Below are 24,406 nucleotides of genomic sequence, written 5' to 3'. Positions count from 1 at the left end.
CTTCAGTCTAGGTGACAGTGAGACCCTGTCAACAAGAGCAACAACAATAAAGATTCCTCATGGAACTTATATCTAGTGGAAGAGTCAGAATTTAGGTAGTTGATCATAGTAATACTGAATTATGACCACGATAAGAAGGGTAGAGTATAATTATAGGATTCTTGAGAGTTATAAGAGAAATAGTCAAGTATATAAAATATGGAGTAAGTGTTTTGTGAGCTAAATAGAAAGTGTTGTCTTTTGCTTTGTATTATACCCATTGTTCTAATGTAGGAGAAAAAGGAACAGATTTCTAACTTCGATAATAGATGAAAGCCAAAAATAAGGATATGAATATCTCTATCATATGTCACTTATCACAATATAATTGCCTCCTTTTTTCACTAAGATTGTTACATACTGGGACTGTTGTTTATGAAGTTTCTGTTGTGTGCCACTGACTGTGCTAGGTGCTTCATGTATTCTTATTTAATTTCTCAGGATAAATTTTAGGATAAATATTTTTATTTCCAACTTTTTCTATAAAACAAGTGTATATAGACAGGGCTGGGTACATAACACCACTCAGGCATTCTGTGTGAATGATGCTCCCTAGAGTTGTCCCATAGGGCAGCTCCGATATGGAGCCTTTAATAAATTCTCCCCAACTACCTGGAGATAGTCACACATTGAGGGTGAAACTAATAAAAAGTATCTTACCACGAATAAAATGGACGATTTGCAAAATTAACACACCCTTGGAGAGTTTCAAAATCTGTTGCGTAGATTTGTGAAAGATTATAGTTTAATTATAGTTACTAAGGTGGATGAATGACTTTTTTTCCCTCTCTTTTTTTTTTTTTTTCTTTTTTAAGAGACAAGGTTTTGCTGTATTGCCCAGGCGAGTCTCACACTCCTGGGCTGAAATGATTCTCCTGCCTCAGCCTCCCAAAATGCTGGGATTAACAGGTGTTCGCTGCCATGCCTGGCCTAGGATGAATAAATGACTTTCGATTTAGCTGCTGTTACTTAATCATTTGTTTTATACTGTTTAAAAATAAAGAATGTTTTAGCAGAAGAGAAGTGGTGTGCATGGATTGTGAGAAGCCAAAGAAGATAATTCTGTTTGTGTTAATCCATTACTGTCTGGTAGAGTGACAAAACCTATCAACTTTATTTTTATGGCTTAACTCTTAAATTAGGTCTGGTACACACATACACTGATAAAATTGGGTTTCAGGACCTGCTGATCTAAAGCTGAGACCTGAACTGTGCTGTCCACATACTAGAATTGCTACTGTTTAAGGCCCCGCCTGAGGAGCTGGCTAAATTCTTAATTTAAATTATCTTTTGAAATGACACACACAATGATTTGCATGACAGATTGATTTAAATGTATTTACAGAATCTTAATGATTTCTAGACTCTGTCAATAAGTCTGTATTTTCCTTACACTCTAAATAATAATCTTGTAGATTTGTCAGTATAATCATAAAATCTGATACAGAAAAATCCTTGTTAGATAATGCTGGCCTTGCTGTGTTTTTAAATTACATATTTGGTATTTCTAATCAACTCTATAGGATTAGACATTATACAAATTCTAAGTTGGAAAAGAAAAAGAAATATTTAAAATAAGATGAAAGCTTCCCTTTCTTTCCTTAGAAAGAAATATGGAAATAATATTGAGAATTAGTAGTTGACCTTAAGTTTGATTGCTATTGTTATAATTTCTGTTCTTATTTCAATTTCTATAAAAACACAGTCAAAACAGCAACTTCCCCAAAGGTTAACGTGAAGATGGTATGACAGGTCTGGGTTATTTTGGGTGTAACACTGGCTCACAAAGGTAAGTGATACAAAATGATGTCTTGGTGGGTTTCTGTTAACTTCTGCCCATGTTGTTTTACAGAATGGCCTATTAAAAAAATAAGAATTAAACAGTCCTTTGTGTTTAACAAGATTTTCTGTTTGGTATTAAGAGTATCCTAGAGTTGAAAGTACCAAATACTTTTGCTTTGAGTAGCTTATCATGCATACCATTTTGCCTAGGACAGCCCTAATTTATGCTTTTTGTTTTGGCCCCTGTCAGTCTCAAATATGTCCCAGTTTGGAAGAAATACATATCACTTTATGATATGGTTTGGTTCTGTATCCCCTGTGTCCCCACCCAAATCTCATCTTGAGTTGTACTCCCACAATTCCCATGTGTTGCAGGAGGGACCCGGTGGAAGATAATTTAATCACGGGGGCAGTTTCCCCCATACTGTTCTCATGGTAATGAATAAGTCTTAGGAGATCTGATGGTTTTATCAGGGGTTTCTGCTTTTGCATCTTCCTCATTCTCTCTTTGCCTGCTGCCATCCATGTAAGATGGGACTTGCTCCTCTTTGCCTTCCACCATGATTGTGAGGCTTCCCCAGCCATGTGGAACTGTAAGTCCAATTAAACCTCTTTCTTTTGTAAATTGCCCAATCTTGGGTATGTCTTTATCAGCAGCATGAAAACAGACTAATACAGTAAATTGGTACCAGTAGAGTGGGGCATTGCTGAGAAGATACCTGAAAATGTGGAAGCGACTTTGGAACTGGGTAGCAGGCAGAGGTTGGAACGGTTTGGAAGGCTCAGAAGATAGGAAAATGTGGGAGAGTTTGGAACTTCCTAGAGACTAGTTGCTTGGCTTTGCCCAAAATGCTGATGGTGATATGGACAGTAAGGTCCAGGCTGAGGTGGTCTCAGATGGAGGTGAGGAATTTGTTGGGAACTGGAGCAAAGGTTACTCTTGTTATGTTTTAGCAAAGAGGCTGGTGGTATTTTGCCCCTGCCCTAGAGATATGTGGAACTATGAACTTGAGAGAGATGATTTAGGGTATCTGGTGGAAGAAATTTCTAAGCAGCAAAACATTGAAGAGGTGACTTGGGTGCTATTAAAAGCATTTAGTTTTAAAAGGGAAACAGCATAAAATAAAAGTTCAAAAAATTTGCAGCCTGACAATGTGATAGAAAAGAAAATCCCGTTTTCTGAGCAGAAATTCAAGCCAGCTGCAGAAATTTGCATAAGTAACAAGGAGCCAAATGTTAGTCCCCAAGATAATGGGGAAAATGTCTCCAGGGCATGCCAGAGGTCTTCACGGCAGCCACTCACATAACAGCCCTGGAGGTGTAGGAGGAAAAAGTGGGCACAGGGTCCCAGCACTGTGTGCAGGCTAGGGACTTGGTTCCCTGCATCCCAGCTGCTCCAGCTGTGGCTGAAAAGGGCCAGTGTAGAGCTTGGGCCGTGGCTGCAGAGGGTGCAAACCCCAAGCCTTGGCAGCTTCCACATGTTGTTGAGCCTGTGGGTGCACAGAAGTCCAGAACTGAGGTTTCAGAACCTCCGCCTAGATTTCAGAAGATGTATGGAAATTCCTGGATGCCCAGGCAGAAGTTTGCTGCAGGGGTGGGGCCCTCATGGAGAACCTCTGTTAGGACAATGCGGAAGGGAAGTGTGGGATTGGAGTCCCCACACAGAGTCCCTACTGAGGCACCGCCTAGTGTAGCTGTGAGAAGAGGGCCACCATCTTCCAGACCCCAGAATGGTAGATCCACTGACAGCTTGCACACTGTGCCTGGAAAAGCCACAGGCACTCAACACCAGCCCATGAACTCAGCCGGGTGGGGGTGCCATACCCTGCAAAATCACAGGGGTCTAGCTCCCCAAGGTCATGGGAACTCAACTCTTGTATCAGCATGATCTGGATGTGAGACATGGAGTCAAAGGAGATCATTTTGGAGCTTTAAGATTTGATTGCCCTGCTGGATTTTGGACTTGCATGGGGCCTGTAGCTCCTTTGTTTTGGCCAATTCCTCCCATTTGGAATGGCTGTATTTATCGAATGCCTATACCCCTGTTGTATCTAGGAAGTAACTAACTTGCTTTTGATTTTATTAGGCTCATCGGTGGAAGAGACTTGCCTTGTCTTAGATGAGACTTTGGACTGTGGACTTTTGAGTTAATGATGAAATAAGTTAAGACTTTGGGGGGCCTGTTGGGAAGGCATGATTGGTTTTGAAATGTGAGGACATTTGGGGAGGGGTCAGGGGTAGAATGATATGGTTTGACTCTGTGTCCCTACCCAAGTCTCATCTTGAATTGTACTCCCACAGTTCTCATGTGTTGTGGGAGGGCGGTTTCCCCCATATTGTTCTCATGGTAATGAATAAGTGTCATGAGATGTGATGGTTTTATTGGGTTTCTGCTTTTGCATCTTCCTTATTCTGTCTTTGCTGCCATCCGTGTAAGATGGGACTTGTTCCTCCTTGCATTGCACCATGATTGTGAGCCTTCCCCAGCCACATGGAACTGTGAGTCCAATTAAGCCTTTTTCTTTTGTAAATTGCCAAGTCTTGGGTGTGTCTTAGCAGCATGAAAACAGACTAATACACTTTATAAGATACATTTATTGTAATAATCATATGTTCCTAGATAATTCAGAAGTTAAATGGTTCTAGTAGAAATGTGCTGATACTTTTGTCCTTTTTAAACAATATATTATTTATCATTTAGAGTCTAGAGTGAGTACACTTCAACTAGTTGAACTTTTCAAGTTTGTCTTGGGAAAGAGCTAACTGAGTTTTACTAAATCTGATGTGCGAACTGGGAGATTGTCAACATATATTGGTAGGTTTTTGATTAAGCCCACTATCTTAGAAGCTGATTAATGGTGATATTTTGTATAATTGTTAATGCATTTGAAGATTTTTAACATATTGGGGAAATGGAGATCCTTGTTCATACTAAATTCATTCCAATAATTATACCAGAGCTTTAATTCTTGCTTATCTGCTGTGTGATCTTGGGCAAACTTAATCTCTTTAAGTCACATTTTTTCATTTTTTAAAGGAAGCTAATAATGCCTAATAATAAAGATTTCAAAGAGGCATGTTATGTGACTCATATAGTTCCTAGTGTAAAGTAGGTGTATCAAGTTGTTGAGATACTAGTTCAACTGACTGTCAGACTGCCTCTGAGTTTTATAGTACTTAATTAGTGTTATGACTTAATTACAACCAATAATGATAATTTTTTGTAAAACATAATAGCATAGACATTAACCAGTATGGTTTTCAGTTAAACTGAAAACCTTTATAAATAGGATGATTTTTCTTCATACATAAATCCATGTCATTGAATAACTGCAAATTATCTAGTAGTAAAAAAAAAATCATGTTTTTCTAGGTTGGTAATATGCTTAACAGTATTTAATTAAAACAGTTTGCTTTCAGCTATTGTTTGAAACTTACACATGAATCAGTAAATGTGAACCAGTCTGACAACATCCTCTACATTGTCATATATACATGGAACATGGTACACTGACACATACATAGGAATATAAAGCTTTCATATTCCTTATTAAAAAGTTTATTATGTGTTTGGCAAGCTAAAACTTACATGAAAAGGAGCAATGTGAGTTTGGAGGAATTTGAAGCATTTTGGGCTACAAATAATTTAGGAGAGTTCTTAGAGGAGATGAATGTTGGGATAAGCTTTGAAGGAATATACAGAGCCTTTAAAGGGAAGGAATGGTGAAGGCAAGGTTGTAGCAATAGAAATGTGCAATTTATTTTTTGACTTTGGAGTAGATCAGTGGCTCACATAAGGGGATTAACATATTAGGGCTAAACAGAGGGGTCTTGACTACGAGGCTAATGATTCTCTATATGCAGGTGATAGGGACTCATTGAATATTTTTGAGCAAGGGATTGATATGATTAAAAATGTATTTAGGAAGATTAGACACAGAAGGCAGAATGGATTGGTGTACAGAGACGAAGTAAAGACACGCATTAGGAAGATTGTTTCTAGTAATCCAGATATGAAGTAGTTAATGCTTAAACTTGAGAGTGGCAATAAAAGTGGAAACTTGGATGCTTTATTCAAACATGAAGGTCTTCAGTCTGTCTTTTGAAGCAGTCTGCCTGTTGATGTTAATACTACTTAAATGCATCTAGATGGCTAAAGAAAATAAAAGCTAAATAACTTAAACTCTTGGTCAATATAAGTGCAGTATTTTATGAGCTATGTAAAACACATTTCTTCTACTTTGTTTTACTTGTTGACATTCAGCTATTAACAGGGACAACAACAAAAACATCCCTGAAGCTTTATTATTAACAAACATTTTAAATGTTTAAAAAATTTAACTTATAAAGAAATATAGCAAATGATAAATACAAAGTGGAGTGCCAAAAGTAAAATATTTTATTTCTTTAGATTTTATACTTCAGTTTTATATTTGCTTTGTCAATTTTAGAATATGCTTAGCTTAGTGATAATATCTAAACTCCTTCTAAATACAAATCTTAATTCTTATTTTGTGGGCTTATTGCTAGCATTTTATTTAAAAATTTGAGCTTTCCAATGATGATTGTTTCCTAAATCATTATTTGAATGATTTATATTTTATTTAAGTGAATGAAAGTTATTTATTTCCTGTTGTCTAAAGTGAGACGTCCAACTTAACATAGACTTAAAAAAAATTTAGTGACATGGTCTCTGTCTTTCACCAAGGCCAGAGTGCAGTGGTGCCATCATAGCTCACTGCAACCTCAAACTTTTCAGCTCAAGCAAACCTTCTGCCTCAGTTTCCTGAATAGCTGGAACTACAGGTGCACGCCACCATGACGAGTTAGTTTTAAAAAGATTTTTGTAAAGATGAGGTCTCACTGTGTCGCCCAGGCTGGTCTTGAACTCTTGGGCTCAAGTAATCCTCCCCTCAGCTTCCCAGAGTGCTGGGATTATAGGCATGAGTCATTATGCCCGACATGAAACAGACTTCCTTAGACAAACTGATTTGATACCACTTGTAAGAGTTTATCACTCTTTTTTTCCTTTAAGATCTCTTCCATACACCAAACACCAAGATATTTTTTTCTGTCATAAATTGATACAAATAGTCTCTATTAGTTATATCATAGGCTAGGCCACTATTAACAAAGAGAAATGTAAATCCTCAGTAGTTGAAACAAGGTAGAATTTTATTCATCTCTCATTTAACAATTCAGAGGTAGGCAGATGGTCAAGAGTGGGTTGGTGCCTCTCTTCACAAGGACATTCAAGAATCCAGGTTTCTTTTGTTTCTCAGCCATCCGCTGTGACTGCATTGTTCAGTAGCCATGTGTGGCTATTGACATTTACATTTAAATTAACTTAACTAAAAAACCCACTAGCCACATTTTGAGTCCCTCATAGACACGTGGCTGGTGGCTACCGTTTTAAACAGTGCAGATATGTCATACCTTCATCATCACAGAGTGTTGTGTTGGTTACTGCTTTATAGAGTGTTGTTCCTGTCCTCATGATCTTTGCTAGCTCATATTGGCCTGTCCAAATTGTAGTCTACAGGAAAGGAGAGTAAGAGGAGGGAAGAGAGGAAAGCATAGTTCTGTTATAAATGAACCCCCAAAAGCACACATCACTTGTGCTTGTAGTCCACTGGCCAAAATGTAGTTATATGCCAACACCTCCTTGCAAGGGCAGCTAGGACAAGTCACTAGCTGGGTGAAGTGGATCCTGCTAAAACTTGGTTTTATTGAGAGTTGAGTGGGGGCAGGGATCCTATTACCAAACTGGAGAAGGTAAGTTAAATACTAGAGGGCAATTGACAATCAAGGTCGCATATACTCAACCTATTAATAATCACAGTAAGGTTTCTTTCTGTGCCCCAAACAAAGTGACCAGGAAGCAGCATGGGTAAAATGTACCTTGATTTTAAATGGCCATGCTGATATTAATCTGAAAGTATAAATGTTTTTTACTGCTTTATTTAAATTGCGTCTTAAAGTTTAACAAAATCAACCTCATGGCCATTTTGGCTTACAGGCCATATTTTTGAGCGTGGCACTTTTTCTGTAGTGTATTACCTCTCTGACTTACATTGTGGGATGATGATAATTTTATGTTATGTGATTACAAACAAAGAACTAAAGAGCTTTTATTTCTGTGTTATTTTATAGATGTTAAAAAATGATTTTAAACATTGTGATGGTGAGCAACAATGTGAAGTACAGAAAGTAGTAGGTGGTGATGTAGTTTTTTCTTCCACCCCTCTTAAACGTGCATGCCTTCTCTCTCCCTCTTTATATTCATCATGGTTATGAACTATTTAAGGCTTATAAAGAAAAGCAGTCTCCCATATTATTTTCTATCCCCAGTCTTATTCTTTGAGACAAATACTTTGAAATATTCATGTTTACAACTTCCATGTTTCTAAATAATCTGCCTACATGCAATATTTCTTTATTTTTTAGGAATTATGAACTGATTAATGAAAAAGAATTTAGCTAATGTATTATTTCTCTTTTGCTTTTCTTTTTTATTTTTCCATTAGCTTTACTGTTTCTTAAACCTCTTTCACGTCCATTCAATTAAAGATGGTATCTCTTGACTTTCAAATTAGCAATTACAGATTTTATTGTTTCTAATTTTCCATTCTGGTATCTTTCCCATTTCTACTTCCCAATTTTTGTCAATTCTTCATTTTAAATTGTAGTAGTCAAATATATTTACATTAGTCTCTATAACTATAATTAAGTCTTTTAGCATTGCGTATTCTTGGATTCTAAAAATTGTAACTAGTAACAGTTTAATTTTTTACGACTACATAAATATTTTTAACTGAAAAGTTAGTGGCAGAGTAATTACCATTTTTAATGCAGTTTTATTGTTTATAATTTGGTTTAAAGTTTCTTCTTCCCCCTTTTATCATGCACTTAAAAATTCCCATAATTTCTGCCAGTATATCAGTCATACTCTCTATCCTGAACACTGCATTTTTGCCAGCTGTTTCTGCCTGGAGTCCTTGTTCTCTCTTCTTTTCTGTTTTATCAGCCAGTGCTCTTTTAACTACTCTACATTTTCCTAAAAGTTGTTGAAGTTTGCTTCAATTAATACTATTCCTTCTTCTTTTTTTGTAACTGTAGGTTTATACCTTTGAAACATTTTTTAAATGATTAATTTTTCTGGAAGTAGAGAATATAAATGCATGTGCTTAACATCTTGAATCTGAAGTGTGGGAGTTTTAAGAGTCAGGTATTGATATATCTGAACTTCAGAGTCATATGGTAAAACGTGATAAAGACATTCTAATTTTTTTTGGAGGTGAAGCATTTACAGATATAGCTGAAAGAAAATATAGTCATTGTTATTTTTATGTGTATAAAACACTTTCTAGAATAGTTTTGTTTTCTAAGACCCTAGACTTTCTACAGATTATGATAAAATTTCCATTGTATTATTGAAGATAGATATCTTCAGATTTAGACATATTTTCATTACAGTGTTTCACAACTTCATTGTGCATTTCTTGAAATTAGCCCATGTTATCATTATATAGTACCTGGTCAGTATCTAAATGGCATATAGTGATATTAAAAAATATATTTCCTAAGTTAGGAGGCTTATATTCTGAACTCCAATGGGTCTTACTATCAGCCTGGGTGATAAGTTTTGCAATACTCTTAGACTACTTTTTATCTTTATAAGAGAATAGCATTGTAAAAATGTCAAAAATATCCATATGCCCAGTTCACTAGTAAATATACTGCTAAATTTGAACCTTTTTGGCAGTAGCTTATGCTACTCAAGGGACCGTATTTTTACAGAATTATATATTTCAAAGGATATTGGTTTCCATTGTAGAAAATTCATGCATTTAGGGTAACTTAAAGCCAAAGCAGTTGTGCTTGTGCTATATGTTTAGAATATTAGTCATCTTGAATACATGCATAGGTTAAGTGTCAGAAGCTATATATCGTGCAGAAAGAAAATTTATTGTTAGGAGACCAGGCTGTACCTGTGCTTATACAGCATTTTCCTTAGAGGATCAATTTGAGTATATGAACAAATACCAGCTAGATTTTTGTACGGTAACATTATTGATAATATAGGAGAAGTTCATTGAGGAGAAAAACAAAGGGAGCATTAAAGTCTCATACTGTATGAAACTACAGAAATGGATCAAAGAGTTTGACAGGAAGTTTAATGTGTACATAAGTAGAGGCTGACAGGAACATGCTGTGTGTGCCAAAGGTTCCAGTGATGGAAAACTGAAACATAGTGCTCACTGACCACAGCATGAGCCTTGACACACATTGTAAATAATCCAGAGATATATGACTGCATTAAGTGCTAGGCTGGTATATGAACGGCAGTAAATCTATAGCAGCAGAAAGGGTTGGCATGCAGAAATTGCTCTGATTTTTATAATGGATTAATAGGAATATAGCAAATATTTTCATTTCAAATTCAACCATCTCCAGTTCCCCTCTCCAGCTCTCCCCGGTGTGATCATTTTTTATTCTCCTCTGCTCACCAGACTTGTGTATGCGGATACCTGCTTCAGTACCATCAAGTTAAAAGCAGAAGATGCTTCTGGTAGAGAGCATTTAATCACTCTCAAGTTGAAGGCAAAGGTATGTGCCTCGTTAAACTGTTATTGTGATCAGAAAATACTTTGTGAAATGAACTCTGTGAATGCTCTCAATGTAAAGAAGTGCTAGTTACATCTAAAAATACATATATCATGCTTTAAAACATTGATTTTGGAAAGCCTCAAAGAATTTATTCACCACGTTTCCAAAAGCCTAGACAGTTTTATGTCATATTTTAGTCCAAATTTGCTCAAAATACAGACTTTATAACAAATACTACAGTTACAATTTTATAGACTCAGAGTACCATGGTGTTAATTTTGTAACATCCTACATGTAACATGTAGAAGACAGTGGACACTTCCACTATCCCAAGTTGTACTGAGAAAATCTTTTGCATTCAGCTGTTACTATAAATTTCTTTTGTAGTTCTTATTCTTATCTGTGATCCCCACTCCCTAACACAAACAACATATATGCATACTTTTTTATAGTTTGTTTGCTTTGGCTGGGGTTTTTTAAGTATTTTAAGAATTTGCAGAGGTTATGCCTCTATTTATAGATCCCTTATAGGATAGTGATCTATAATCACAAATTTTATTGGCACAAAACATGGTTGTTTCATCTTTATTTTTTAGTTCTAAATTGTGAATTTGGACAAATAAGTAAAATAAACAAGTTTAGCATATTAATCATTTACCTAGTAATCACTGGAGAAACATGAGAATTTGAAGAAAACCAGGATGTCCAACTTTTTTTTTTTAATTATTCTTGGAGTCAATCAATCAACTCTTTTTCAGAAGATTGTAGTGATGAAAAGATCAATTGTGTTTGTCCTTTTTAAAAATGTGTCTGGCATTTAAGCTTTCCACAAGAGAAAATTAATATCTAAAGCTGTACTGGATGACACAGAAAAGTTGATATCTTATAGTGGTTCTATAACAGACAGGTTGAGAAATGACTAATTCTCTCACACACAGAATATGTATGTAGGTCTAATTTTAAGATCCATATGTGATAAGTCTTGGAAAAAATTAGTGGGATGGAAATCTCATTATTTGTAAAATAAGTTAGATAATTATTTTTATTAAATTGAAAAGATTTTTATTTTTTAGTTTGTAAAAGTGTGCTTTTTTTTTTTTTTTAAGAGAAATTTGCCTTTATCCTTCCAAAGGGTCACATGTTGCCAGTGGCAAGGGTTCTGTCATTTCCTTCAAAGCTCTATTTGTTTATATTTTGTACCTTAGTAAAATTAGCCGTTTTTCTATGAAGACCAAAACTAAAGATTTTAAATACACCCTGTCCTCATTTTTACAAGCTCTTCTACTTCCTAAGAAGATGTTGCTGTAAATTTGTGCTGCCTTTAACTATACCTACAAGATTTTAATCCAAGTTGATGACATTTAGTTCATTTATTGGCAGTATTCAGAGTGAGGTTGTGACAATTTAATATGGTCCATTTTGTCTGCTTTTTTCTATACTTTTTCAAGGTAGATAAGATGATGCTTTTAGTATTTCTCTGGAGAATATTTTCCAGGGTCAGTTTTGCAACATCTGTAGTTACGAAGCACTTTTATAGATATTCTTGCAAAAGAGAAGAGAAAGCTTTATTTAAGCTGGGAAGGAATTTGGCAAAAAAAGAAAAAAAAAACTGTTTTGGAAAAACAAAAGCATGTAACTGAATCTTATGTTGGTATGATTTATTAGAATCTTTATTTCTCAATTTAGCTTAGCTTTCATATATACACCATAGCTGTCTTTGAGATGTGATAATTTTTTTTTTTAGGAAAAAAAAGTTAGTTCTAGATTGTGAATTTGGACAAATAAGTAGAATAAACAAGTTCAGCATATTAATCATTTACCTAGTAATCACTGGGGAAACATGAGAATTTGAAGAAAACCAGGAAGTCTTTTTTTTTTTTTTTTTTTTTTAGGAAAAAGGTATAGGTATATATAAAACCACCAGCAACTAATTGTCAAACTTTTACTTTCAAAAGTAATTTACAACAACAAAAACTCCACATATAGGAATATTAACTGAAAAATATTTTAGGAAACAAAAATTTTAGGGAAAAAAAAAGAAATTGGGCCTGCGATTGTCAGTCAACTACACTAATAGTTGAAACGTTAACTGTATGTTAAGAGTATATTATGCAAAATCTTAATCCAAACTAAGTTTTAAGTGGAATGCTGAATTTTTTTTATTAATAACATACCTCAAAGTAGGCTTTTTTCATAAATACACAAACCTTTATTTCTGTTACTTGATTTTTTAAATATACAGTAAATAAATGCATTTGTTCTATTTATTCTGGAATACATACTTTCCCAATTCTACCACTTCCCCTCACGATCTCCAAGAAACTCACAAAGAAAACAAATACCTATTTTGACTAGATGTCCTTTATTAAAAGTAAATATGTAAATAATAAATAAGTAGAAGTAAACCAGATAAATTTTTTGGTTTTTATAGGTATATTTTTATGCAATGCTTACAGTGCATTCAGTACTGAATTACCTTTGCTTTACAAAAGTAGCAGCCCAGGGCTTCCTCAGCTTTGGTCAATCAAGATCAGTACTACTTGAAAAACAAATTACATATATGCATCAGAGGGTGGGCACTCTTTCTCTGCTGCAATTTGTATGTATTTACTTGGGGATCAGCCTTACTGCTTAGGTAGTCTAGTCACAGAACAGACTTGGTTAAAATTTGTTTTAGAATATATTAATATTATAGAGTCTAAAAAATACTGTGTGTGATAAAAATATATACTTAATATTATGTAATCTTTTTTTTTAGTTATTGATTTGATTTTCTGCAAATGAGATTTGGAGAACTATGTTTTACTTGAAAATAATTAAATACTATACTTATTTTTCAGTTAATATTCCTATATGATATGGAGCTTTTGTTGTTGTAAATTACTTTTGAAAGGAAAAGTTTTGACAATTAGTTGTCAGTGGTTTTATATATACCTATACAACTTATTATTGAAAAGTATCTTAATTTTGATCAAGTTACTTTCTTATATTGTATTTAGTCATCTACACTGTAGTTAATACTATTATAATTCAGAAGCTATTCTGAAAATGAATATCTAGTATGCTAGTTTATATTTTAATATTTATGATAAATCATCCAGACTTACATAAATGTTCTTTTTAAGCTCTGTACTGTTATGTGAGGTTTGTTATATAAACAAAATTGATTTTGCACATGAATGTAATTAACACATATTGCAAATACTCATTTAACTCAGATATGAAGTAAAGCCACTTGCATAAAGATCAGTCTAATTTATTATATACATATTGTATTACAAATATAAAAATATATTTGAAAGATGTCATTATCTCAGAAACTACATACTGGACTCATTTATATATGTAGGATCATATATTTACTCTAACTTGCTTTTTTGTTTAACTGTTTGTGGATCTCTTTCCATATCAGGACATTGATACCATTTACTATACTGAATCCTACTTGAATGTAGTATCTTACTCTCTTTTAGCATAATGAGCTGTGTATGTACTTAATGGGGCCACAGATACTTTACTTTGTGTATCTACTCCAAATACAGTAAACATTTCATTAGTCTTATTTTATCTACATTGATGATTCATTGAAGTTAGAGAGTTGATATTGTTCATTGTCAGCATCACTAAGATAAATAGCAACTCAAAATGAACTAAATTTTCCATTTTTGACCCACAGAGGTTTCAAGTGCACATTATTTTTAAAGAATTTTGACATTTTAGAAGGAAAAGAGATTTTGTAACACTTCTAGTTGAGTTTTGTCATTTTTACATGTGAAACAGCCAGAGAAATTAAATGACTTGTTCAGGATCATACAACTTAGTTAGCAGAGCTGGAACCAAAGAAAGCTGAGGTCTCTGTCTACATTTACTTTGAGATAATCACGATTTTTAAATATGGCATACAAATTGTTTTTCCAGTGATTACAGCAATGATACTCTGAAGCACATCATCTGATATTTTTAATTGTCTGAAATAGAACTTCCTCTTTTAATTTCAGCATGATATTTTTTTCTTTTTTTTTTTTTCCAGAAGTAGACCACTGGAATATTTTTATATGATTTCTTATCTATTTGCCTTTGTGTTAATTAGTTCTACATAGCCAGATTCCATTAGTCAGAGTGTATATTGATAGTAAATCTTTTTAGCCAACTTATTATTGTAGCTAAATGTTAATTTTTTTGAAAGTGTTGATTTCAAATGTTTGTTAAATACTGTAGTGATTTTTTTCTTCCCTTTTACTTACCCAGCAGAGTACTGAAAAATAAGAGGCTGAAAAAAGTGAAAGCCTAAAACTTCTTTTAATAATTTGTCAAATGAAAGATTTCCTAAAACTAATTTTCTTTCAGTACATTTAGCTTTTTAATGAAAAGAAATGGGTATTTTTAATTACATGTGACTTTGAAGAATCAGAATTGGATTATAGAGAAATCATTAAGTATGATTCTCTAATAAGGAAATTGATTTTAAGAAATTTTATCTTTTGCCTTTGTTAACTTAAAAACTTGGTTTGTCCTCATGACTGCCAGTTTTTATATGACTAGTTGAAGAAATAATTTTGTATTTAGCAATCTTTCAAAGGTTTTTCTTGCTAAAAACTGTTTTATTTTTTCTTAATAAGCCAGAAGATATTTCATTCTTTTTATCTTCTTGCTAAAATTAATATCTTTAATATAGAAAATAATTTTTTAAATTGACAGCTATATGTATTCATGTTTGTGTATTTCTTAATTCCTTTAACTGATACTGCCTATTTAAATAGTGACTGATGCTATTTGAAATTAAATTTAGGACTAGAAGAAAATTAAATATCAACTCATTTGATCTCTTATTTTAAAGATAAACAGAGATCCAGTTTGGTTCATTCCTCAAATCATAACTTCAGCAGCTGACACAACGCTGACTTAATTCATTACCTTTTACTCAACACCGATTGCTTTGGCACTTCCAAATCACCAAACTTGCACCTCCATAGGTTGACTATAAATAAGCTCTTCACATCACTATGAAAGTGGAGCAAAAATATTTATATGTAATACATTTTCAGTTATAATAATATGTTTTCCCCCAATATATCTCGTTTTTCTTTTTTTTTTTTTTTTTGAGATGGAGATTCACTCTGTCGCCCAGGCTGGAGTGCAGTGGCGCAGTCTCGGCTCACTGCCATCTCCGCCTCCCAGGTTCACGCCATTCTCCTGCCTCAGCCTCCCAAGTAGCTGGGACTACAGGCGCCCACCACAATGCCTGGCTAATTTTTTGTATTTTTTAGTAGAGGCGAGGTTTCACCGTATAGCCAGGATGATCTCGATCTCCTGACCTTGTGATCCGCCCGCCTCGGCCTCCCAAAGTGCTGGGATTACAGGCGTGAGCCACCGCGCCCGGCCCCTAATACATCTAGTTTTTCTAAAATACCTCAGTGATATTAACACACAGAAGCAAAAATGGTCTAATGTTATGCTTTTTTAATAGTATCCTGCAGAATCACCAGATTATTTTGTGGATTTTCCTGTTCCATTTTGTGCCTCCTGGACACCTCAGGTAAATTCTCCTCAGGTAAATTCTTAAATTTGTTTTAAGTAATTAAAAAGTACAGTTGTCCCAGAGTATCCATGGGGGGATTATTTCTTGGGCCCTCTGTAAATACCAAAATCCATGCATACCCAAATCTCTTATATAAATGGGACTTTGTTTATAGCCTGTGCACACTCTTCTGTATACTTTAAGTTATCTCTAGATTATAATACCTAATACAATGCATTTGCCATGTAAGTAGTTGTTATACTGTAAATAGTTATGTTATTTATTTATTTTTGAATATTTTCTGTCTGCAGTTGGTTGAATCTGCACATGTGGAATCCGTGGGTAGGGCCAACTGTAACTGTTTTTACTTAGGTAGTCATTATAGGTTATGAAGTAATCTTTGTTTTTTCAGTTTTCCTTAAGCATTTATTTATAAACACACCTTCTATAATGCTTCTTTTATATTTCCTTACAGTTAATGTCCATTTTCTTTCTCCCTCTCTACATGCACACACAAACACACCCACTCACACCCACACCCATGCATAAATACACACACACACACGCACACACACACACACACCATCCAGCCTGTAGATATTTATGCTTCATTTTCAGTAAACATGCAGAAGCACTTTTGACAGACATTTTCCTTTAAATTTAAATTCCAAAGAACTCTGTAGAAAGCAGTGAATGGTAACTGAAAAGTTGAGTGAAATGTTTTATATTGCTAAAACTTTTGACATTGATTACATAATATCAGAGAATCCTTTTCAGAGGAGAATGAATTATGACTGAAAACATAAACCTTGGCATTTCTACTCCATTTTTATTGTTTTAAAGTATTTGTCCTTAGTTCATCTTTAAACTTTGATTATATTCTTTTATTTTGTGCTTTAGAACATTCAATATTTTGAGTAAAGAATACAGAAGATTCTCCTGCTTCTGTCAGTTGAATTTCGCAGTACATTGATGATATTAGCAAGATAATGTTTTTTAGAAGTGCACTGTAAACTATAACATAGATATAAGGTGGTATGATTATCGGTAGTACTATCACCATTTCATGTGTGTGATTTTTAAGGATGTGGCACAATGTGATTAGTTAGGGCATAGTTCTTTCACCAAGTAAATTGTGGCAGTTGATAGCAAAATGGAGAGAACATTTTTATTCTTAGGCAAAGAGAAAAAACATTTCTAGTGACATTTTACAAATATTCCGTAAATGGAGGCTACTCATTTTGGCTATAAAATTTTGGTTAGATTTAAATAAAAAATTATGCTTGTATTTTAAAACATAAATACATGAGTAAAGTAAATATATAAGAAATTAGTAAAAAAATAAAAAGCCTAATAGGATTTAAATAGTCTTGTCAAGGCCAAAATGCCATTTTAATTATATATTGTATTTATCCAAAAATTATTTTTCTCATATCCTTTTATTGTTTTTTTTTTTAAAGTCCCAATCTCCCCACAATGGAAGTTGAGAAAACATAGCAAAATAGAGAAGAGAGAGCCTGTAATTTGCTTTTGGTATTTTGATGTATGCTATAAGTAAAATACTATGTTGATTTTTTTTTCTATTAAAGAATTGGAATTATGCATAAATTTTATAGCTTTCTTTTTTTATTTTAAAAAAATTTCATGAGACCCATGTCCCTTTTTTTAAAATACACATTTTCTATTTGGCTCTGGAAGTTCAATCTTGATGTTTTAAGTGAGATCATGAGAAAATATTATAGCTAGGTTGTGTTACTCTTTCCAGGTGTTATTTCTAAATTATACTTTAATATTTATCACAATTCCAAGGTTGAAAAATACACTGTTTATGAGTTTCTTTGTGTTTTAGATGTAGATAATTCTAGAAGTTTCCCCAGGCATTTATCTGTGGAAAAGTTTGCAATGCCATGAAAAGATTGTTTAGTACTTTATTTTGTTATTTAACAAAATCAGTTTGTGACTCTCTACTAGACTGGAAAGTCTTTGAAGGCAATTTCTTTTAAATTTTATATCCACATGCTCAGTGCCTTATTCATATAAGCATGGAATAAATATTATATTAATAATATTAATTCAAATTTAAGTTTCAGGTTTAATTGGGTCATACAAGTTTTGTTTTGTAGTAACTCTAAGAAAATGTAGAATTCGTAGTAATGAGTGTTATAAATTCTTAATTTGTGGAATATACTGAAATTCTAAGCAAAATACAGATAAATTAAAACAGCCTTTTATCACAACTCAGATTTGACAAATGTTAATATTTTGTCACTTTTGGTTCAGATACATCTATATTTCTCTTTGTCTTAAAAATAAAATGTTTTAAGAATAGCTAAGACCTGACCCCCTTTTCTGTCCCTCCTTCCCATCTTTCCTTTCTTTGCTTCTCTCCCTTTAAGTAGTAACTGTTTACCCAAAATTGGTATATAGGCCATCCGTGCATACTTTTTGCCATATTTGTTTATGCCATATTTGCAGTCTCTTTTTTTAACATTATATAATTTCAGTGATTTAGCCATAATCTTATGTTTGTCTACTATATTTATTTTAAATACTTTATATTATTCCATTATGTTAATCAGCAACTTGATTTATCTGTAGCACTACTGATAAGGTTATTCACAAATTCTGACAAACAGTGCTGCAGTGAACATCCTTCCATGTTTCCTTGTGCACATGTATGAGACTTTTAGTATGGGTTTTTCCTAGAAGTGAAAATGCTGGATTTCAGGCTATGTGCCTCTTTGGGGTTACGCAGTATTGACAAATTGCCTTCCCTAGATTGTTGTATAAGTTTATATTCCCATTCAGCAATGCATATTCTTTGCAAGCTTTAGTCTCATCTTAGTCTGACCTTCTTATAAGTTTATAGTTATTATTGTGTCCATAGCCTTAGCCTATATTTTTTTCCTTTTATTATAAACATTTTATCTATATTTTGATACTAATTTTTTGTTAGTTATATGGGATATAAATATCTCTGTGGCATGTCTTTTAACTTTGTATATATTTTGTCATACAGAGTTTAACTTTCAGTCTGGTCACATCCTTCTCTTGTGGTTTCTGTTGTGTTTCAAATAAAATCTTTCATATATTTTTCTGAAAAGATATTCTGCTATAGTTCAGAAAGGTATTTTTGCTATTTAAGTATTTAAGTATGAGATAGCCCCTATATTCTATATGCTTATACAATTTGAATGTGTCTTCTTCATTTGTGCGGGTTGGGGGCTGATTTCACAGTTTTTCTTTTACACATGCCATTAATATTTAGAAAGTTTAAAAAATATATCATTTACCTATAAGATTCTGGCTGTATATCATAAGGACTTTGGATGGTACCAGCAGTGTGAACTCTGAGTCTTTTAGACATGATAAGAGTGTTGATAGTTTATGTTTTGAAAATAAGAAGAAATGTGAGACTTCTTGTTATGTGTAATCTTTTTTAATTGGCTGGCTGAAAACAATTCTGCTTGTGGGAGTTTTTTTAAAACAATTTTTAAACAGTTGTCTCTCAAGCAATATAAATGTTACTGTTGTAGTTTAATAGCAGAGTTAGATTTAAGAGATGGTAAATAGATTTCAGATAATTGATTTTTTAAAAATCCCTTTCTGCTTTTGTGTATTTTCTCTTTGGAGTCAGTGTTTCTGGACTTTAAACTTGGAAGATCTTTATTTTTCTTTTTTTTTTGTGATATAATAGACATGGCTTTGTGGCATCCATATTAAAAATGGGTAATTTTCCTTATGGTCCCTGTCTTCCTGCTGGGTTGATAATGTTTTGATGTATTTTTCTTTTGCTCTGATGAGAGGTCTGCTGCTGCTGCTCTGACATATTCATTTGGATGAATAATTATAACTTGCACAATGTCAAGCTGAAGATGGTAGGGTTTTGTGCGTCATGACAAGCCTAGTAGCCAGTGCAGGTGTCTCACAGCATGATCAGCAACAGCCAGTGTATTCTGGCTCAGAGGAGACATTTAGAGTAGTAAGAAATCAGCACCAAGGGCAAGGCTGCTGCTACTATTGCTGCCATGATATGTGCCAAAGAAGCACAAAGTGCTTCTCAAAGACAAGTGTCTAAGCACCTCTTTCTAGATATTTGCTTTATTTGTTTGCTCAGTTAATCTTTTATAGATTTTAGCATAGACGATGAGAACATCTCATAATTTTATTCTACTTTCTAACATCACAAATGCTTCAAAATATATCCTTAATGCTTTAGAATTTTACATACAGGTCAGATGTGTAAATACTCTTGACTGAGACTGTAGAATGCCTAAATGTCAGATTTTAAGTGCACTGATATTATGATTATAAAAAAACGAAATTCCTTTTGTCCAGGTCACTGATCAAGCAAAAATGGATGTGAAAATTGCGGTTTTGCCTGTAAGTGTGCCACTAAGTGCAGGCTTGGTGAAGTATTCTTGCCATGGGCAGTTGGAATCCTCAGGTTCAGTGTGGTGTAGTAAATAGTGGTCTTTATATTTTTTTATCATGGAAATCTTACATTCTTGGAATAATGCCATGAATGCAAGAAGAGCAAAACTAATGATAAAGCCTCTGGCTGATAATCTGATGGTGAATGAAGAATTTGTAATTAAAGGAGTCAGTCCTATTACATAGCAGGGAGCATTATCCATTAGTTAGAGCAGTATACTAGCATTTGGGTATTCTAAGTTGTGTTTACAATTCAGTCATTAATTTAATTGTATTATTCAGACAAGTCACATAACTGCCCTTTGCCTCAGTTCGTATGTACTGTATATGGAAATGGTGAACCTTTTTTCTTTTCATGGATATGTAAAGAAAAATAAATCGAGTTTAAAACAAACACAGTGTTGGGGCAAATCCCCTAGTTTTTCACTGTAATAATCCTGTGGAAGTTCTTTTGACCAACTGGATTCTTTTTCTTTCCATTTTTTCCTCTGCTGTTTTTGTTGGAGGACTTACAGTAGTGGAATTTTATTCACTCTTAAATTGGTTAATTTCTTATGCTTTTTCTTTGTTGGCAGTCTTACTGTTGCCACAGTGGTATGGCTGAAAAGACATCAAAGGGATCAAAACAAAGAAAATTTATTATTGAGATTATGTGATATGGTAGAAAAAGTATAAGCGTAGCAGTCATTTGACCTATAGACTTAGTCACCTATCAGCTGCCTTTCTTTTATTTTTCTTTCTCGATAGCTAATTATTTATTTAAAAAGCAGCCTATATTGATTCTAAAAAAGAAGAGAAAGAGGAAAAATACAAGCAACTAAAATTAAAATGTAAAGTTACCATTAATGCTTTTATTTAGGCAGTAGTATTGAGGTGTCATTGTATAATTGTTTTGAAACTATGCTTGTCACTTAACAAAGTTTCATTTAAAAAATATCATTGATAATACTGTGCATTTGTTATTCCAAATAATTCTTAGAATTACTTGGGTTTTAGTTACAATTGGGTTTACGTTTATCCAGCAAATTAAGAATTAATATGGCCAAAATCTAGAAAAACATTTATCTCTACATTTACTTAGGTCCTTCAGTAAAGTAGCAATGATTTCTTAATCTACATGTTACATATTTTTGTTGAATTTTTTCTTAAGTATTTTAAAATTTTTGTTATTTTTAATGCAATCTTTTTAATTGTATTTTTTAGTTGATCATCAGGATGTGGGCAAGCTATTGATTTTTTAAAATGTTTTATTTTGATCAAATATGTGAACATAGCTTCAGAAGTTAAGTTTGCAAGGTTTTTTGTTGTTGTTGTTTTTGTTTTCTTTTTAGAAAAAACAGCATAGCCTTCATCTCACCTGTTTCTCCAGGGGCAAACACTTTTGGCTGTTAGCTGATTCTTTCAGTAGTTAATTTGTCATTACATGCTTTTGTATTTATACTACTTTTTGTTTTAGGCATTATCTACTAAATTCCACCGTAGATAATGAGGAGTTTGTTGTTTTCTCCACCTACCCTCACTCCATCCTATCTTCCTGCTTTCCCCAAATAACTATATTGTAATTTGGATAATAATATTCAGTGTTTACATTATTATGAAGATATTTGTATCCTATGTAGATATAAGTAATGTGGTTACTTATGTCTAATGTAATGTGGTTAACGGTGATTAATTTTCCTTTGTCACCCTCGTTTTTATTATTCCTAGAGGTCACTTTTTAAAAAACTTTTCCATTTCTTTAGTTTTCTAAGTTGTTATAACTCATTCAACCTCCATATACTAAAATACCAATGGTATTTCTTAAGTAAATGTGTTTTATGGGCAGTGGGATGGATATATGACTTTGAATCTCACTTACTTGCCAGATTAAAGAAGATATTATATCGCTATAGTTTCAGTTGATTTCTAAGATTATAAAAATTGGTTTAAGCTTTGTAGAAGATTTGAGATCTGTGCATTTTGAGCACATGAGATACTTGTGGAATGGCAAAGCTCTCTCATGAATTTAAAGACCCAAAGAAACTAGTTGCATGGAACAGGTTTTTTTAATCAAATGCCTTCATTGGTACGTTAACTGATTTACTTGCTGATGTTAATAAATATGACTTTACTATAGACCTTCACAGTAGGCTTCATATCTGCTCAGCCACTGTAGCATAGTATAAAGAGAATACAGAGTCTTAAAGTCTGGATCAAATTCTGGCTCTGTCTTTACCAGTGCATGACCTTGTGTAAATTACTTATTTATAAAAAGAGAGAAAGAATATCTGTGTCATAGATTACATATGAGAACAAATTGGGGTGTTGTATATGAAAATCCTTTTGAATTGTAAAATGCTGTACAAATGTACAAAGTGATGTAGGGAGTTAATGCAGTTTGTAAACTGGTGAACTCTTAATATAGTGAGAGCTAATATGGGCAAAGAAGTAGTCTCTCTCCATGTGTAATGATATTGTATATTTGTGGATTTATACACACATATCTGTCAGACAGCAATTATTATCTATATATTGAATTATGTATATGTTAAAGACTTTAAAGACAGCATTTTATTTACGTGCAGTAAACAAGGAGTTTTCTATGCTCAAAAATGAAATAGGGATGATTAATGAAAAATCATGGTCAATCTCACCAGGCTACGTGGATGTGGAAGGTGACTACATATACATTGTACTATAAATAACAGAGATAAGAGATGTTGAGAGAAATACTGTTTGGTTTCACAGTTTTATTGGTTAATATATTGTGAGTACTTTGATGAACTTAATGCTTAATGTTATGGTTTGGAGTAACTCAGTAAAATATTCTTATATAGCAGGTGTCCTAAGTAAGAGAAAACATGTGAGTATCAGTCTCCAAATGACTCCTTTAATGTTGTGATCAATATTTTAAAATACTTTTGGATAAAAATTATTTTTTTCAATATTAGTGAAGCAAATTTATTTTAATGCGAGTATAATTTATTAACATTCTCTCATGTTTTGTTCCTGACAGGGACTCTGGTAAATTGATACACTATGTCTATATGTCTATTTGAATTTTTTTTTTTATAATCCAGGGGCTAATTTGGAATATGTGGGTGTTTATATGCTTGTGCATGCATGCATGTATGTGTTTATAAGTTTTAAACCTTCATTTCTGAAAAACATGCCCATTGGAGAATAAAGATCCAATAGGTTGAAGACAGAAATGATAGATACTTCAGTGACAAAAAGTGTTAATTCAAATATGACCTCCTAGCATCACTAAGAAATGTTAATACTTAGAGCTAGAAAATATTCCCCCCTCATCTTTTTGTGCCAAAATAAAAGTTGAATTTTAGAAGCCAAACCAATTTATTAGATAGATATAGAATTGGAAAATATTGGAGTTTGTAAATAGTAGAGACACTGAGACAGTATTAATTAATTAATTAAATGATGTCACTGTTAGTTCCTTGGCTCTGGCTGTGAGAATAACATTGTCAGCTAGCAGCAAATTGGTATTCTTTCTATTAGTTTTGAACTTATGTGATGTAAAGGTTTTTATGATCTTTTTTTATTTCATTGATTTTAGAGTGATGAAAAATTAGATATAGCTAACTTTTTTCTTTATGGATGGTAGCACCCTTTTGGGTATAACCTAACTGGAACAAAAAGCTAGTCTTTTTTCTTTTTTCTTTCTTTTTTTCTGGTCCACTAATTGGCTTGGCCTTTTTTTTTTTTTTTTCTTTTTGAATAGTACACAATATAGGATGCTAAGGATAAGATTGAAAGTACCTACTTATTTTCAGCATGTGCTTGAGGAGCTTTCTTTCTTTCACTTTTCAAAAGTGGAATTGCTATAGTTACTCTGTGATGGCTACACATGAGGTGACTATGTTTCATTTGGTCCTGTGGGCAGATACCCTTTTCACATGAATGAAAAACACTAGCAGATTTTTTAAATGATGGGTGATCAGTGATCAGTTATAGTCAAAATAACTTAAGTATAGAAGAGGTGATATGTTCTTTACGGATTGCTTGACAGATAACAGTGTTTGA

General features: G+C 33.2%; 1 protein-coding gene across 19 annotated transcripts in view, besides 1 other annotated feature; it reads left to right on the top strand.

Annotated features, from left to right (window-relative positions):
* The window catches only part of FANCL (FA complementation group L), an 82,138-nt gene that overhangs the window by 26,820 nt on the left and 30,912 nt on the right, over positions 1 to 24,406 (top strand). For 5 of the 19 annotated variants that reach the window (XR_007077528.1, XM_011532944.3, XM_011532939.4 and 2 more), the window contains 3 exons: positions 10,335 to 10,431; positions 15,899 to 15,982; positions 20,288 to 20,332. The exons of 2 other annotated variants lie outside the window; for them this stretch is intronic. Coding sequence is in view for 14 of the 17 variants with exons in the window: in XM_011532944.3 (XP_011531246.1) it covers positions 10,335 to 10,431; positions 15,899 to 15,982; positions 20,288 to 20,332 (226 nt within the window). In the remaining 3 variants the exon portion in view is untranslated. The remainder of the gene's footprint in view (positions 1 to 10,334; positions 10,432 to 15,898; positions 15,983 to 20,287; positions 20,333 to 24,406) is intronic. 12 more of the 19 variants (NR_164659.2, XM_047444856.1, XM_011532945.3 and 9 more) reach the window with 3 other exon arrangements.
* Positions 6,468 to 7,383: an enhancer, noted in NCBI's record as "OCT4-NANOG hESC enhancer chr2:58434313-58435228 (GRCh37/hg19 assembly coordinates)". NCBI's record gives its function as "activates a minimal SCP1, AML or CMV promoter by ChIP-STARR-seq in naive H9 embryonic stem cells {active_cell/tissue: H9 hESC(naive)}" and the evidence as "EXISTENCE:reporter gene assay evidence [ECO:0000049][PMID:30033119]".

The sequence above is a fragment of the Homo sapiens genome, chromosome 2, assembly GCF_000001405.40.
Source record: "Homo sapiens chromosome 2, GRCh38.p14 Primary Assembly".
In the NCBI taxonomy this organism is placed as follows: Eukaryota; Metazoa; Chordata; class Mammalia; order Primates; family Hominidae; genus Homo; species Homo sapiens.
Note: the sequence above shows the minus strand (reverse complement) of the source record. Positions and strands in the feature narration are given on the sequence as shown.